This window comes from Homo sapiens, chromosome 3 (assembly GCF_000001405.40).
Source record: "Homo sapiens chromosome 3, GRCh38.p14 Primary Assembly".
Classification (NCBI taxonomy): Eukaryota; Metazoa; Chordata; class Mammalia; order Primates; family Hominidae; genus Homo; species Homo sapiens.
Window position 1 is genome coordinate 66,342,173 of NC_000003.12, and position 18,594 is coordinate 66,360,766.

Sequence of the window (18,594 nt, forward strand, 5' to 3'; positions counted from 1 at the left end):
GATCCACTCTGCTATACATGGCAGGCCTACCAATTCCATGCTGTTCTTCAACTAGAGGTCTTGCACACGGTTTCTGTGTTTTTTAAACGTATTGCTAGAGAGTTCTGGGTTATTTCTGCCAATGACGAAAGCTTTTACAGCTTTTTAGATGGCCTTTCTTGGTCCTTAGGCTTCCTAGATCACCCGTGGTGGCATTATGTTCATTGCAGCTTACAGTCAAGTCTTACTTATTTTTAAAAAATATATTGGTATTGTAATGTAATTTTTTAATTGAAAATAGAATGTTAGGGCTAAATGATACCTTAGAAATAATATCTTCATATCTCTTCAGTTGTATTCTAAATCACTTTGCTGTTTATTGAAGGACCATTAGGTTACATTTATTTTAAGATTACAGGGATAGAAGCATTGATTGGCTTCAAAGATAATTCTAGTCCTACACTTTGTGATAGGTGAAGTGTGCTCATAATGTAATTTTGTTCTTTATTTCATTAGTGATGCCTAACATGCCCTTCCTGTTTACCACACCCAGATTTCATTTTATCCCTATTTCACCTCGAATCCTCACATGCACTCTTGTATAGAATTATTGCTCTGTTTATTACTAAGTGGAATCCATGTTGAATTTTGGCAGGCTTTTTCCCCCTCCATCTGTGTCTTTGATGGTAGCTGGGTTTACTGCCGCTCACTTATTAGTGCCCTGGGTCTTAACAACCTTATTCAAACAAAACATCTTAAATGGAGGCATTAAACAGGTCACAACAGTGAGCCATTTTGTAACTTTAGGTGCAATAAAATGGGTATGTTGTGTTTTGGAATATAAGAGCTCTGAGTGCAGCTATTCATTTTCTTCATCTATAAAACATTTTAGAATAACAGCCTACATCTGTTTGGGGGTATAAAATTCCACGTTTTGAAGAAACAATCACTGTTATGTAACTTCAAGCCAGACGCGGGGAGGGAGCTAGCTTTCTGACGGGCCCACGTTCTGTAGACGTTGGGAAAAGTGTTTGTTTTAGCTATGGAGCTGTATTTGCTGGCAGCCCATCTTTCACATGTGTGGAACACATTTTCATTATTGTTTGTTCATATTGTAAATGACAACATGTGTGTGATACAATTTTGACTTGAAGAATATTTGAAAAATTTTCACACAGGAATTTATGAGGGCTATTTCACTACTAGAAGTCAGAAGCAAATTTAATTATTTAGGCATTTATAGCATATTTAATTACTTTAGACTGTCAGTCTTGTTTTAGAGAGTAAAGCTGGGGTTTACTGTCGCTCCCTTTTTAAACTAAATACCCAGTGGAATAGTATGGCCATTCCAAATGTGTGATTTTAAAATTATTTCTTTAAACTGAAGGAGCAGCTCAATGAATAACTTTCATTAGAGGAAATGGGCAAAATGTTTAATGATAGAATTCAAAATCTAAAGTATTAAGTACCAAGTAAGAGCAGATAACATTCAGTGCAATTTGTAGGTGATTTTAATTGAGAAATGAATGATGCCAATGGGATTGTTAGAGTAAATTTTAAATCTTTTTTCATCTTATGAAATATTTACCTTCTTACTAATCCATAATCATACTGTCAGTCTTTTGGGGCATATTTTATTACATATTATAAAGTTTAAAACATTTAGAAAAGCTTTTAGAAACCTATTACACAGTCAAGTTATTGTTTTGATAATTAATTGGAAATATAATGCTTGAGTTTCAGAATGGATAATGTCAGATGCTTTTATGTTTTTGTGACAATAAAAAACTCTATTTAACTACTGTTATGGAACTTCGACATTCGGGGGGGCTGGCTGCCTGTTTATGATGATAACAAACTTCTCTGAGATTCTAGCTTGTCAAATTAGTCCAGGCTATTGACATTGATCTTTTCTTCTCATTGACATTTCCTTCCTGAATGGTAGACAGATTTTCTTTCTGTGGTCACTGTCTGTCAAACTTGGGGCCATCATTTGCTGTAGCTGAGTAAGACAGATGATGCTAATCTTTAAATTTCTGATTAAATATAAATATTTAGGAAATAACAATACCAGGCCAAGGTGGGCGGATCACCTGAGGTCAGGAGTTCGAGACCAGCCTGGCTAACATGGTGAAACCCCGTCTCTACTAAAAATACAAAAATTAGCCAGGCGTGGTGGCACATACCTGTAATCCCAACTACTCGGGAGGCTGAGACAGGAGAATTGCTTGAGCCCAGGAGATGGAGGTTGCAGTGAGCTGAGATCGTGCCACTGCACTCCCGCCTGACCGACAAAGCAAGACTCTGTCTCAAAAAAAAAAAAGACATAACAATGCCCTCAATTCACGTGAAGGTAAATACCCATTAATTCCTCTGAAACTGGGACATTTACACCCACCCACATGTAGTGATAATGATAATGTTCAAAGTCCACATTTACTTTTCCCTTGCAGCTGGGCTGCCTGTGCAGTGCCAGTACTGGGCCCGTGGCGTGTGCGTGTTCGTGGGCATCGCCACCACCAGCACTGGTCCCCTGGGCTGTGACTGGACATTACTTCAGCTGCTGGGTGGGGTCCACTGGTGTTAAGACATTTTTATCTTAGGAAATATGACATGGGTGTCTTAAGTTTGAATTTCAGAAAATTAATAACAGATTGTACTGTGGGTGAATTTATATGCAGATAATTTAGATGTCTCCTGGGGATAGTAGTAGTTAGACAAGACTCTAGAGTCAGATTGTCTGGGCTTCTTACCTCCTAACTGCCTTTAGGCGTTACACAGCGTCTTTGAACCTCAGTCTCATCAACTATAAAATGAAGGAAGTAATACTCCCTAACTGTCTCAGCATGTGTTGTGAGGATTCAGTGAAATAAAGCTTACAAAGTGCATATTTGCAGAGTACCTGGCACATGAGAAGTGTTGATAGTTCTAGCCCTTACTGTTAGACAGCTCATCGTAAATACCTAACTCTAAGTGTGGTGATTCTCTTGACCACTCATACTTCATTACTACGCATGACTCTCCTCCCTAGCTGTGCCTGGGACGTGATCAGTGCTCAGACCCACGTCCCCCTGTGTTTTGTTAGACCCTCTCCACTCCCCTAGCATTGACTGATTTGGTGATTCTTCCTTGAAGGGTGCGAGCTTCCCACTGGCTGCTCTGTTCCTGGAGACCTGTTTCTCAAGTTTGACTCTTGCAAGTAGCTCTGTCTGCTTCCTCTTTCTTCCTTGCCTCTTTTTTCCCTCCACCTGCCCTTGCCCTCTCTCCAGTCTCCTCCCTCCTCTTTTCTCCCTCTCCTTTCCTTCTCTGCCCCGTCTTCTGTCTTCTGTCCTCCTCCTCTCTGCCCCCCTACCCTCTACCTCCCTGCTTTCTTTCCCCTCCTTCCTGCTTCCTTTTTTACCCATCTCTTTTCCTCTCTCCACTTTCTTTCCTTTTCTTCCACTCCTTTCTCTCTCCCCTTCTCTTCCTGCTCCCTCTCTCTGCTCTGTTGTCTCCCCATTCCCCTAACACTTCTCTCCCACCACCCCTTACCTTCCTTCTCTCTCCTCTGTGTTTCTCCTTTAAATCCTAACACTGCCTGCTAAGGAGTAGACAGCCTTGGCTCTTAAGCACAGAAATGTCACGTCCTAAAGTGTTTTTATTATGCTGGGAAATATTTATTTTGTCATTTCAGTAGCCAGACTATTGTGCTTCTGTTTCCATTTCAAAGGGGATTCACAACATCATTTTATGTCCCTTGGGCTCAAAAACTCAGAAGATCACCAGGCTCAGTGGCTCACGCCTGTAATCCCAGCACTTTTGGAGGCCAAGTCAGGTGGATTGCTTGAGCCCTCAAGTTTGAGACCAACCTGGGCAACATGGTGAAACCCCATCTCTAAAGAAAATATACAAAAATTAGCTGGGTGTGGTGGCGTGTGCCTGTAGTCCCAGCTACTCTGATGGCTGAGGTGGGAAAATCTCGTGAGCCTGGGAGGTCGAGGGTGGTGATCTGTCAGCCTGAGTGACAGAGCGAGACTTCCTCCCAACAAAAAATGAAAATCTACAGGCCACAGTTTAACTCTTTTTCTAAACATTATGTCTACTATAACTGTGAATTTGTTTGATATTAGCTTTGTTATAAAGTTGAAATAATATTTACAGGCTCGTATAGTCATACAGGCAAACTTGGCTCTTTTTTGCCTAATTTATTTAATTTTTTTTTTCTCTCTTCAGATTCCTTTTTCTTTGGTCCAGTTTCCCTTATGGGAGTCCTTAAAAGTAAGTTTCTCAGTCTTCACATAAAATTTGTCTCTAATTATAACATACCTAATAGTTTGAGTGTGGAAGAGTAGAACATAATGTTGACTAGAAGTTCAGCAACTCAAACCTATTAGCAGTTGAAAATATATTTTATGTGTGATTTACATGCCATTTCAGCCTTTTAAACTTGTTCAGGTGGCTGTGCTCCTAGGAAATAGGCATAGCAGGTGGCACTGAAATCCACAGATAATAAGAAAAAACTTAGGTTTACTTTTTTCCATATTGCCATTCTTTCTCCACCGTTAAATTTCATTTTGCTGTGTGCGTGTGTGTGTGTGTGTGTGTGTGTGTGTGTGTGTGTGTGTGTGTGTTTAGAAGTTAAAGACTAACAGTGAGGGTAAATGGAAGAGGAAAAATGCAAAGCCTTGAATACTTGAAGACTGAGAAGGACCAGCTCCCCTAGCACCCTGTGTAAGGACCACTTGGATGGGGAGCAGCAGGGTCTTAGGGCTCTGACTGTCCCTTCCGTCTTGGTTGCTCACTCCAGCCAGGACTAGGAGCCTCCAGAGGGAAGGAGCAGAGTGTGGTGAGTTGTCAGACAACCTTGGGGAAGGTCAGTGAGCTATTTAAAAAAAAAACAACATGTTTTAACCATTAAGGACATGGACATGGGCAAATATTTCATGACGAAAACATCAAAAGCAATTGCAACAAAAGCCAAAATTGACAAATGGGATCTAATTAAACTAAAGAGCTTCTGCACAGCAAAAGAAACTATCATCAGAGCGTTCAGACTACCTACAGAACGGGAGGAAATTTTTGCAACCTATTCATCTGACAAAGGTCTAATATCCAGAGTCCACAAGGAACTGAAATGAATTTACAAGAAAAAAACAAAGAATCCCATTAAAAAGTGAGCGAAGGACATGAACAGACACTTCTCAAGAGAAGACTTTCATGCAGGCAACAAACATATGAGAAAAAGCTCAACATCACTGATTATTAGAGAAATGCAAATCAAAACCACAATGAGATACCGTCTCACACCAGTCACAATGGCGATTATTAAAAAGTCAAGAAACAACAGATGCTGGTGAGGCTTTGGAGAAAAAGGAACGCTTTTACACTGTTGGTGGGAATGTAAATTAGTTCAACCATTGTGGAAGACAGTGTGGCGATTTCTCAAAGACGTAGAACCAGAAATACCATTTGACCCAGCAATCCCATTACTGGGTATATACCCAAAGGAATATAAATCATTCTGTTATAAAGATACATACATACATATATTCATTGCAGCACTATTTATAATAGCAAAGACATGGAATCAACCCAAATGCCCATCAATGATAGACTGCATAAAGAAAATGTGGTACATACACACCACGGAATACTATGCAGCCATAAAAAGGAAATGAGATTATGTTCTTTGTAGGGACATGGATGGAGCTGGAAGCCATTATCCTCAGCAAACTAATGCAGGAACAGAAAAGCAAACACTGCATGTTCTCACTTATAAGTGGGAGCTGAGCAAGGAGAATACATGGACACAGAAGAACAACACACAATGACTGGGGCCTGTTGTGGGGTGCAGGGGGAAGGAGAGCATCAGGAAAAATAGCTAACACATGCTGGGCTTAATACTTAGCTGATGGGTTGATACATGCAACAAACCACCATGGGTCACATTTACCTGTGTAACAAACTTGCACATCCTGCACACATACCCTGGAACTTCAACAACAACAACAACAACAGCAAAAGACATTTTAAAAAGCCTACATTCAAAACATGCAGAGATGTTACATTGGTTTTTCACTTTCTGGTGCAGTGATACTGAAAACTGTGGGCCATGATATAAATTGTGTGGGTCTTTGTCAGCATTTTAAAGACCATAATCAAGAAGAATATAGTAGAGGGCATCTTACGTGGTAAGAGTAAGTCTTATTTTGTAAGACCTCAATGAATGTTATGCATGCGTGCACACACATATGTATCTAGGTTGCAATGTAAAATGTATTTCTCGCTGTGGATAATGGTCCAAAAACTTTGAAAGCCCTTGTTCTAGTGAAAATGGTTCATAAATGACCAGGCTATAAAATAATCTAGGTAGGCATTAGCTAATACAAAAATAAAGGAGTTACTCTCATAATTTTATAGATTGACTAGTCATGGAGTGCTCATACAAAATGCATTTTGAAGAGTATCATAAAAATTATTTGTACTTGGAAATAAATTGTTGAGGTATATACTAAAGGATACTAAATTGAGAAAAAACATTACTCATTAACAAAGTAAATTATGAGATGTTAAGTATCAAGAAGTATTTCTTATAAGTGATCTGATTTTAAGGCGTAGTATTGCTCATTTAATATAGTTTTTTGGCTCTTTTGTTGTCTTGTTTGTTTGTTTTACTGTTTCCTATGTGGTGCGTGGTGAAAATAGAGTTCTCTGGCAGTGTTTCAGGGCATGATGTAACAGCTATCCAATGAGAAGGTCACGTTCCATTAGTATAACAGCTCTCCTTTTTAGTGTGTGACAAAAGAACAATGAAGCCAACAGCTGTCCAGCAAACAAGACTTACTTTATTAGTGTCTCAATAACCAGCATTCACACAGTTTCTGCACACTCTAACATCCTTATGCCCTAATTCTGCAAAGGAATGTTTTGAGGCCTAAAGAAGGAAAAAGCATAGTGTTTATTTCTTTTCAATATTAAGGACATTTGTAGAATTCTAGCTAGTTAAGAAATGTCCAGAATTTTTCAGAGTAATCATAGATGACAATGCTAAGATTTAAAAATTCTCTTTGAGCAAATGTTAAGATGCTGCCATTTTTTTTTCTGTCAAGTCGTTTCTTGAGGAACGCTTTACATATGATAAAACTCACCCTTTATACCTGTACATTTTTGTGAGTTTCAATAAATGTTTATAACCACCACCAAATTTCCATCAACCCAGAAAGTTCCCTCATGCCGTCAGTGCCCTTTCTGTACCCACAGCCCCTGTGAGCCACTGTTCTGTAGTCTTCTCTTTTCCAGAACATCATAGAAATAGATACAGGGTACTATTATACCATCTTGTGCTTTGCTTTTTTTTTTACTTAATGTAATATTTTTGAGATGCTTTCCTGTTGTTGCTTGTACCAGTAGTTTGTTTTATTACTTTGTAGTATTCCATATGTGTATGGATATGCTACAATTTATTCACTAGTTTATATACATTGAGTTGTTTTCCAGTTTTTGATGATTATAAATAAAGCTGTCGTAAGTATTTGCATATAGTATTGGTATGGATGTAGGTTTTTACTTCTCTAGGGTCAGAGGCCAGGAGTAGCATCCCTGGGTCATACAGAAGGTGTATGTTTAATTTTATAAGAAACAAACTGTCAAGGTGTTTTCCAAAGTGGCTGTACCAGTTTGCATTCCCACCAACAGTGTATGAGAGTTCTAGTTGCTCTACATCCATGTCATTTCTTGTTACTATTAGGTTAAATTTTTTTTCCAGCCATTCTAGTACTTGTGAATTGGTGTCTCATTGGGGTTTTAATTTCTAGTTCCCTCATGACTAAATAATGTTGAGCATCTTTTCATATAATACTGTTTTTTAAACATCTGAACGTACAATCACAGTGCTTTTGTAGAAGTAGACAGTTTTTGGAACTTTTTTATTTTTGTGTTTACAATTTTATCTATTTAAACTTGAGTTTGCAGCTATAGAAGGAGATTGTATTATATGAAAGGATTTCTCCACTGTGTTTATTTGTGTTTATGTGGGAATACCATTCAGGAAAATTTTTCTTAGCCAAGACTAGCAGATTGCATCACATGGCACTGCAGGGAGTAAGGGGCTGGAGGTGGTGGTGGCCACTGTTACCTTAAATTCAACTCTGTCTAAAAGTCATCATCTTTCTTGTAAAATCATGTCTTCCTGCTGTCTCCCATTTCTGTTAATCAGTATTCTCCTGGCCACCTGGTCTCAAGTCTCAGATTAAAATTTGATTCCCTTCTTGCTCTTTCTCTATATCACATTACTCAACAAATTTTGTTGACTTCACTGTTGGGAATTTGTGGCCACATTTCACCTGATTCTTAGTACCTTATGTTTTCCCACATCCTAATAGGCTCTCTTCTTATCCATTCTACATTTTGGATGTGTCTGATCTTCCTTAAACTTTTCTTTCAGTAACACTTAGGTTCTCAGGAACATATAACTTTCTAAAACTCTAAAACATTAAGTTCTTGGCATTCAAGTTTCTCAACACCCTGTCCTTGACTGGTTTTTTCAGCTTCTGCCCTATACTCTGTGTGTGTGTGTGTGTGTGTGAGCGCGCGCGTGCGCGCACACCCACACGCACACACAAAATTCTTCCCCTCCAGCCAGAATAGCCTCCTTACTGCCTCTAAATATGTTCTCCCCTTCTCTGTTCTCTGACTCCTTTCTGAAGTATGCTTCCAAGGATCCAAAAGTGATGCATCACTCAAATCTCAATTCAGTGTTTGATCTCCTGCTTGAAGTCTTCTAATGAAGGCCTTGAAGAATTGCCCTTACCACAGATTTGTCTGTGTCACTGACTCGTATTTAATCACCCACCATATTGTGTTTAAAACATCTTATAGTGTTCAGATAAGGCCTTAACCCCTTCAATTTACAAGTAAATGATACCTGCTGTCATTGCAGCTCTGGTGCCTGTCTACTCTGAGCTGGATATGGTTGCATGTCACAAGAATGCAAAGATGAATAAGAAATGGCTTAATGCCCTTGAGGAGCTGAGAGTCCGTCAGAGTGGCACCCAACTCGTTGATAACTTAAATGTAATGTGTCTCTTATTGCAGAATACTTGCTCCCCAAATCCTGTTACTGTGCTACATCATTTCCTTTGTTTTTCTTTTCTTTATTATACATATGCTTACAAAAGTATGTTTTAGATGAAAGAGGACAAGACACCATAAAGAGATGGGGAAGCAAAAGCGGTAGATTATCATATCCAAAGTCTTAGAGAAGATAATTTTCCTTGAAGATTTATATTTACTTTGGAACTTTCTGGCAGCCCAACAAGAAGAGAAGCATGATAGATTTCATGGTTTTTATTATCTGACAAAGACCTGTAGCTTGCTATTCTATCTTATCCTTTGACTTTGGATACCATCTTTATACCAACTTGCATGTTTATAGCTCCATGGCAAGCCCCTTCCTCTGAGTGGCAGCCTCAGATCACCAGCTGCCTAGTTGACATCCTCACTCAGGATGTCTCTGAGTGGCTAGGTCAGAACAGAACTGTCAGTTTTTATTTGTCTTCTTCCCAATCTGTTCCTTCCTAGTTGGTCCACTTCTCAGTAAATAGCAAAGTTGTCTTATGCTTGCTCAAATAGAAACTTAAGAATGATTCCAGAGTTGTATTCTTTTATCCTTCATCATCTAGCCCATCAACAAGTTCACTGTTCTAGTTCAAGCCTCTAACACCCCTTGTTTGAATTGCTACACTGGCCTCTCCAGTGGTCTCCCTCATTTCACTCAGGCTTTCCCAAAATATCTTCTTCACACAGCAGCCAGAGTGATCTTTTAAAGAAATGAATTAGGTCAGGCACAGTGGCTCATGCCTGTAATCCCAGCACTTTGAGAGGCATAGGCTGGAAGATCACCTGAGCTCAGGAGTTTGAGACCAGCCTGGGCAACATAGACTCCATCTCTACAAAAATTAAAAAAAAAAATTATCTGGGATTGGTGGTGCATACCTGTAGTCCCAACTATGTGGGAGGCTGAGGTGGGAGACTTACTTGAGCTCACAACCTGGGCGACAGAGTGAGACCCTGTCTCTTAAAAAAATAAGAAAAAGAAATTAGACCATACTATTCCTTGCTAAAACCTGTCAGTGGCATCTCGTTAAAAGAAAAATAAACCCAGAGCTTAAGCTCTGGCTGGCAAGGCACTCTGTAATCTGGCCTCTGTCTGCCTCAGCCTTATCCCGTGCCACTCACCCGCTGTGCCCGGCCACGTTGCGCTGACTGTGCTGCTGCCTAGCGCCTCCCCTCGTTTTTTGTTTTTTGTTTTTTGTTTTTTTTTTTGAGATGTACCAAGGCCTTTACATTTGTAGATCTCCCTGCTAGAAATATTCTTTCTTCCTTCATTCTATATACATCATTTTTTATGTGTGATAATTTTTTTAATTTTGATTTTTTTCATATTTTTGAAAATTGACAAATAATATCTGTATATTTAAGGTGTGCAGCATGATGTTTTGAAATATATAAATAGTGTATATGTCATTACCGAGTGTCTATTACGTGCCAGGCATTTTCCAGGGTCTGGGGATACAGTGATGAAGAGGACTGACACAACTGACCCCATGGAGCATTCATTCCAGCTCTTTCCCTAGGCCTCTCTCCATCCCCCTTCCCCATACCTCTCTCATGTCTCCTCTTTCCCCATTACTCAGGCCTTAGATCACATGTCACCTCAGAGAGACGTTCCCGGTCTACCCCTCTCCAAAGTAGGACTTTCCCCTCCTCCCTCCTCTGTAATCATAACACCTATTTATTTCCGTACTGGTATTTTAATAAATTAGTTTATTTAGTTATGCACTTACATCATTGGAATAATTATTTACGACATCAGTGGTGTGATGAGCAGACACTGTGTGCCAGGCTCTGGGTTAAGCACGATGCATTTGTTACTGTCTTCTTCACACCACAGACAACCCAGAGAGGTGGGCCTTGTTGTTATCCCCACCTTAAAACCAGGGAAGCAGGGCTCAATAAGGTTGTCTTTCACCTAGTTGCCTGAGCACCTTTTACTGTGTGCTGCGTAGCAGACAGGTGACTCAGGTTACCAGGTGATTTTTTAGTGATGATAACAACCATAATAAAAGCAAGAACAGCCAACATTTTTCAAAGCTACAGTGTGCCAGGCACTGTAGTAACACTTCCCACACATCTCCTGTTCATCTTCATGACAGTCCTGTGAAGTAGGTGCTGGCCTGGTCTTTGTTCTGTAGATGTGAAAATGGAAGGAGAGTTTGAACGCCTTGCCCAAGGCCATGGGAGTACTAAGGAGTACAGCCAGGATTTGAACTCAGGTTCAGATCTAACTCCAGACTTGATATTCTTAATCACGTTACATGTAATTATGCACACCGCACATGATGTGTTTCATAACGTTTTTGTATTGTCGTATACTCAAAAGTTGATAAAAAGTTGAGGTCATATTTAGTCAGCTCATTGAAGGCATTTCTGTAAATTGCATTGATTCCTTAATGATGACATGTAGCTTAGGAAAGCCTGGCCAGCATATTTCTTAGACCACCTCTCCCCAGTATCCGTTGAATCTGCTGAGCTTGGGCAAGGATTAAACTGTGCTCACTTGAGTCAGTTCTCAGAGACCAACCCTGGAGAGCACAGATAAGTTCACAGTTAATGAGTTCAGCCAGAACCGAATTTTCCACGTGCTTGTGTTTAACTCCCCACAGGACGGTGCTTACTGGAGGAAGAAACTATGTCTTCTGTTTATTCTTTATGGTTCTGTCTTTTACACAGCAGGTGTTTATGTAACTATTTGCTAATTGTTTGAAGGTTAGCATTCTTTTTCAAGTTGAATGCAAAGTTGGATAACTGTATCTACGTTAACTGTTTTATTTGTACATTCTTTTAAAGGTATGTTCACAGCTATAAAGAGTTTTCCCTTTTTAACCATACAGATCTTTTCTTATCAAGCTTTAAGTCAAAAGTAAGCATATTATGAAAGGATATGATAAAATTTCCTGTGAGAATGCATTTTTTTTTTTTTCTATTTTCTTAGTGTGAGACATCAGTTTATATTGCAGTGTGGAGAACTGTTAAGAATACTGTCAGGTCCGAGTGGTTTTGCTTACAGCTACAGGGTGTTACAAAGCAATAGCTAGATGAGATGTAATCTTTAAGCTAAGCAGTATTTAAAGCAAAATGAAAATAAAATCAGTTTGGTTTTGTAAGACAGCAACATTATGCTAATACTTTTCTAAGATGAAATCATAGCTTTGTCATAGAAATCAGGGACCAATGCATTATCACTTCACTTATATCAATAGTTCAATGTATATAATAATTACTTAGATCTCTCTTTTATGTTTTATAAGTATTTTAAACGTGCAGTACTACATAAAAGCTATGTTTTCAAGTTCAAGAATAAATAGCATTTTTTCTTGTTGATTCTTGTTTTAATAGTAGTTAAAATGTCTACCACCACCCTACCCACAACAAATTTCTCTGATACTTTTAGTAATATAAACAAGAATTAGAAGAGGCTCAGTGCTCAGGGTCTGCAGTTATACCATTTCATGAGACTGGGAGAATCTGGTGTCGGGGAGGAACCCAGTGGGAGGGGATTGAATTATGGGGGCAGATCTTTCCAGCACTGTTCTCATGACAGTGAATGAGTCTCACAAGATCTGATAGCTTTAAAAAACAAGAGTTTGCCTGCACAAGGTCTCTCTCTGCCTGCCGCCATCCACATAAAATGTGACTTGCTCCTCCTTGCCTTCTGCCATAATTGTGAGGCCTCCCCAGCCATATGAAACTGTAAGTCCAATTAAACCTCTTTCTTTTGTACATTGCCCAGTCTTGAGTATGTCTTCATCAGCGATGTGAAAATGGACTAATACAACTAATAAGAACCACAGATAGAAAGCTCATAGAACCCCCAGTCAGAATAAATATCCCCCCACATATCTAAAATCTAGCCCAGTCAGTTCCAAAAATATCACTGTATAAACTCTAAAACCTAAATATTACTAAGCAAACCCAGCATTTTAGTCCATCTTGCTTTTGCTTAAGAATAATCAATGTCTTTGCCTGTAATTACCAGCACAATCATTAGTTCAAGATTTTCTTATAAATTCTTAATATCTTTACCGACTTATCTAGAATGCAAATATCTAAATATCTCAACCAGCCAACATATATTATTGCCCAAAACAAGGTACACATCAACGCATATAAAATTGATGCTGCTTGCACATCCCAGAACAGTTTCAGTCTAGCTGCCTTTATAACCCAAGTCAGCCTGTATACCATAAGGGATTCCTAATTATCAGTTAGGTATATCCATTTTTAATTATGAAAAGTAGTGCTATATGAAAAATTCATTTTAGCCTTTTAGCCACTAGCTCGTATTGCAAGAGCTATGGTGTGGCGGAATGAAAGCCAAATTGTGGTTCCCAGTTATGTTTGATACTGTTTTCAGTTTCAGAACTTGCTATCAGAAATCTCTTTTGTAGACATAGTAGTATGTGAGTACTTCACAGAGAGATGGTTCATCTGATTGAATGATAAAATTATAGGCAGCTGTTGCTTTGTTTTTAAAAATATATGTGCAAAAGCTACACAATAGCTTGATCAACTACAGTATGGAAAGTATGTGCACGAAAATCATTGTCTCCTGTCTTTAATCTGTTATAAACTTCTGGTGGTAAACTCACAGCAGTGAGACCTACCCAGAGGATGATATCAAGAGCAAGCCTAGGTTTGAAAAAACTAAGCATTATCCTTTCCATTATCTTAAATTTTGTCATGTGATGTTACTAATTTGGAATTGAGTAGATGATTCTGTGCACATACTTATTTTACTACATGTATAAAAAGCATATAGTAAAATATCATCATCTTGTAGGGTTGGAAGCCATATAACTGCTTTTGAATAGAGCAGCTAAAGAAGTCCCAAGTTGTAAGTATTTGTTCACTGGAGCCAAAACAGTTATTTTCAGTGTGTTATTCATAAGACAGTAGTGCTTATTTGGGTGGGTCTTTTAAAAGTGAAAAACAAAGCCTTCTCTTCAGGCTATACTTTAAATAGAAGACACTTGGTCTGGGGTTGGACTCCCAGCCACTTCATAGTATTGTGCCTGGTGTTGGCTTTCTGGCCTATGACTACTGGTGCTAATAGCTATTATCTTGGGGTGGGGGTCGGGGAGCCAAACTACTTCATGCTATTCTTCCTCTGATAGGCCTTTAGCATTAAGTGAAGAATCACTTGGGAAATTACAACCTGATTGTTTTTGTAGTGGTATCACTGAGTATCCTAAAGAATAATACAAATACTGTTAATGTAAAAAGTCAAGCTGATGTTTAAAAATTGCTTACTTTTAAACAATAGTTATTATGGTGAAACTCAACTAGGGTCTGTAGCTTAGTTAATAGTGTTGTACCAATCTCAGTCTTGTGCTTTGATCATTATACTATGGAAGCTGGGTGAAGGATATGTGGGAACTTTATTATTATTATTTTTTGAGATAGGGTCTTGCTCTGTCACCCAGGCTGGATTGCAGTGGTGTGATCGCTGATAACTGCAGCTTCAACCTCCCAGGCTCAAGCAATCCTGCTGCCTCAGCCTCCCTAGTAGCTGGGACTCAGGGGTGTGCCAACACGTCTGGCTAATTTTTAAATTTTTTTGTAGAGACAGGGTCTCCCTGTGTTGCTCAGGCTGGTCTCAAACTCCTGGGCTCAAGTGATCCTCCCACCTCAGACTCCAGCAAGTGCTAGGATTATAGGCACGAGCCGCTGCACTCGGTGGAATGTTCCTATTTTTGTAACTCTTCTGTAAATCTAAAATTATTTCAAAATAAGTGTCATACAACCTAGTAGACATGGTTTCTAATCAACCTGTATTAAGGAAGCTTTACTTAAGAAAAATTACCGAAGTGAAACTAAGAACATTTTTGACTTCTGTTCTCATTACTTAAACTTGATATTTCTCATTAATGTAACCATAGATTCATGTGAAAATTTCATTTATACTGTAATTCCAGCTACTTGGGAGGCTGGGGTGGGAGGATCACTTGAGATCAGGAGTTTGAGACTACCCTGGGCAAACATAGCAAGATGCTGCCTCAAAAAAATAAAATAAATTAGCCGGGCATGATGGCCCTTGCCCATAGTCCCAGTTACTCAGGAGGCTGAGGCGGGAAGATCGCTTGAGTGCAGAAGTTGGAGGCTGCAGTGGGCTGTGATCACTTCACTGCACTCCAGCCTGGGTAACAGAACAAGATCCTGTCTCTTAAGTTACTTACATTTGAACAGAAAAAGGAAATGGGACATTGAATTGGGATAAATAAGCAAACATCAGGGAAAATGTGGCCCCTTGCTTTTTAAATTCCTTATTGTTATTTTGGTATACAGCCTCCTCCGTGAGTTGAGACTCCAATACTGCTTCTTCACATTCGGGCCCCTTAATGCCCCTCTCCTCCCCTAATCATTTATCCGCCTTGACAGAAATGATCATTAGACCTCTGTGGCAATGAAATTACTTATTTAGGTTGAGAAATTATGGAAATTTAGAAAATTTTCGGCAGATTCTTAAAAAAAAAAAACTTTTGTAAACCCACATTATTTAAATTCATTGTATTAACTTCAAAATATTTAATAACGTGTGTATTATGATGTAGTTCGACTAGAAGTTGAGCTGTATATGATAGTGAGGAAACAGACTGCTATTTGCAGGACGAACCAGCCTCAGTTTTCCCATTTACTATCTATGTGACCTCAGGCAAATCTCCTAGAACTTGCCCCTCACCTGTTTTTGTGGAGAATAATATACTTCTCAACATTGAATGAGATTATACATGTAAAATCTTTAGCATAGTGCCTAGAGCATTGTAGGTAGTCAGTAAATCCCAACTAATATTGTCAATAGTAATAATTTATATTGTTACCTGTACTATATCCTACATTCCAGTCTAAAATTATGTGAATGTCATAATCAATACATAGTCTTCCTGTGAGTAATGTCTTCCAGCTAGAGTATTTTGTTTATTACAATTCTGTTGTCCCTCCAAATAGATGAGCAAATATGTAATTTCAAAATATTTCCATAATTTATGTATTTTTTACGAGTCACTTTCTGATTATTGTTGTTTTATGAGTTTAAGGTTGCACTCAAATGAATAATTTGTAAATAACACTCTTTTTAGATTGGTCTCAATATTACATTTCTGAAGTTCTGTATTCAGACAATTCCTCATTTAGAAAAATCATTTCAAACTCATTTAAGCAAGTTGTTGCAGACATTGACATAGTTTGTTCATTCACTTGGATATTTTAAGTCATTCCGGTAGAAATTGTGATTTGCGTGTGGAAGTAAAGTGTCTCATGAATGCTTATCTGTGTGTTACCAGGACAACTATATCCTATAGATCCAAACCCATGTGTTTTCATGCCCACACCAGAGTGTCCCATCCAGATCCCAGCTTTCCTACTCGCTGTTTAATCTGTGAGTTACTTAACATCTTTGAGCCTCATCTTTAGACAATTTTTTTCTTAGAGATGGGATCTCACTGTGTTAACTAGGCTAGTCTCAAACTCTTGGCCTCAAGTGATCCTCCCATCCGGGCCTCCCAAAGTGCTAGAATTACAGGCGTGAGCCACAATGTTTTTGTCTATAAAATGACAAGATAATAAAAATTACATGTAAGTCGGAAGATTCTGGAGAGAATTACATGAGCTGATGTATGTAAAGTGCTTCACACCTGGAATGTGGGAAGTTCTGTATGTTCTATGGAAGTGTGTATTGTGGTTGCTGTTACAGTCATTCTTTACGTCATGCTTTGTGTTTGCCACTGAAGTTTCTCACTTTAAACGTTTTGGGTCTTCTAGAGATTTTTTGTTTGTTTTAAGATATTTATTAGTATCCATGTCAAATACCAAATTATTTCTTTATGTGTTTTTTGTAGGCTCATTATTCTGGCCAGGTGATAGTGGAAAGTTAGACTTATCTGTGGAGATTCTGTTTTTAAATGTTGTCTTCAGCCATCTGAGTCTATTTGGATTGTGTTTTTTCGCCCCCTGGCAACCAATTTTTTTCTCCCTAGATTATAACAGGCACCTCTGTGAAGCTTTCTCTGTCACCTCACTTCTCTCTTGTATAATCCTCTTCTGCCCCCACCATACCTTCATCAAATATTAGACCTAGGGACTGTTACTTTTTCTTTTCTTGACTACAATACCTGACACCTAGTAAGTAGTTGTTGAATTTATGACTTGCATAACATTTTTGATTTCTTATCACATTCACATCTTACTGTTATTTACTTTTGCTTATAAACTCAGCATTATTACCAGCATTTCAAGTCTATTTGGAGTAGCCTTCTACTCTTTGGAACATTTAAAGATATAAGTAGATTAACTGAAAGTGACCTTTAGTCATCAACAGAAATCTAGTTTATATTTTGCATTGCTTTTCTACTAAGTTGGTGAAGTAAATGTTGGTGTTAAAACTGGCATTAGCCTGATAAAATACACCCTTTGCCACCTTAAAAGTAAAGAAAAAGCGATTCCATTGTCTTGTTTCTTATTCTTTCTGCAGTGCTTCTAGGAGCTCTGGAAAAAATAATGGTTTCTATTAAAGCATACAGATGTATTTGCAAACATTAGAGCATTTTCTGAAAATATACCAGATACTCTGTTTAATGGCAATATTATCTTTAGAAACCAGTCTCTAATAAGTCTTTTCTTTTTTAGCTTATCTGCTTTCACAAGTAAGGTGATAAATACCTATTTGATAGCTGCACTCTCAGTGCAGTAAATTGAATTAATACACTTTCAGAGAATCATTCACGTTAGTATGGATAGAGGGAAATGTTGGTCCTCAAACCACACGCTGTCACATATTTAATTTGTTAGATAGTTAACATAGTAGCTGTCTGACTTAAGAGAAGTTGTGAAAGTTGACAGAGTAAACAGAGTCTTGTACCTAATGAATTTCTATGGCATCTTCTTCATCCCCTCAGTGACCCTCACAACCTTCCAGAGATAGTTGTCAGTGGAGAAGCATTCAGAGTAGGAAATTAAAATGAACTTTGCTGTTCTTCTTTTAGTTGCTGTGTATTTGATTATCCCTAAAAATGTCAGACCACTCTCAGAAAGTCATTATACTTTTCTAACCATTTAAATTAATATATTAAAGAGGTCTTTTTTGTTAATATTTGTGGTCACTATTGCAATGCATACCATTATTCTGAAGGTCCTACTCAATTCAGTAAGGCAAAAATGAAAATAAACAATAAAAGTTACCTTAATTGGAGAGGAAGAAGTACAACTGTCTTTATTCACAGATGATACGGTCATCTATGTCGAAAATTTGATGAGCTTTATAAAAAAAAAGCTATGAGGTTGGTAACTTTAGCAAGGCTGCAGAATACAAGATCAGTGTACAAAAATCAATTGTGTTGATAACCAGTTTCAGTTTCTGCATATTAGCAATGAACAACCAGAGACTGAAATTTAAAAAACAGTGCGATTTGCAGTAGCATCAAAACATGTGAACTACTTAAGGATAAATTTGACAAAACCAGTGCAAGACCTGTATACTGAAAACTAAGACAGTGTGGAGAGAAACAAAAGAAGGCCTTAGTC

The 18,594-nt window shown here is 38.3% G+C and overlaps 1 protein-coding gene across 25 annotated transcripts in view; it reads left to right on the forward strand.

The window, feature by feature from the left end:
• The window catches only part of SLC25A26 (solute carrier family 25 member 26), a 245,318-nt gene that overhangs the window by 208,563 nt on the left and 18,161 nt on the right, over positions 1-18,594 (forward strand). For 17 of the 25 annotated variants that reach the window (NR_028475.1, XR_007095631.1, NR_174572.1 and 14 more), the window contains one exon: positions 4,192-4,236. The exons of 6 other annotated variants lie outside the window; for them this stretch is intronic. Coding sequence is in view for 7 of the 19 variants with exons in the window: in NM_173471.4 (NP_775742.4) it covers positions 4,192-4,236 (45 nt within the window). In the remaining 12 variants the exon portion in view is untranslated. Of the gene's footprint in view, positions 1-4,191; positions 4,237-13,858; positions 13,913-18,594 lie in introns of all 25 variants that reach the window. 2 more of the 25 variants (NR_174568.1, NR_174574.1) reach the window with 1 other exon arrangement.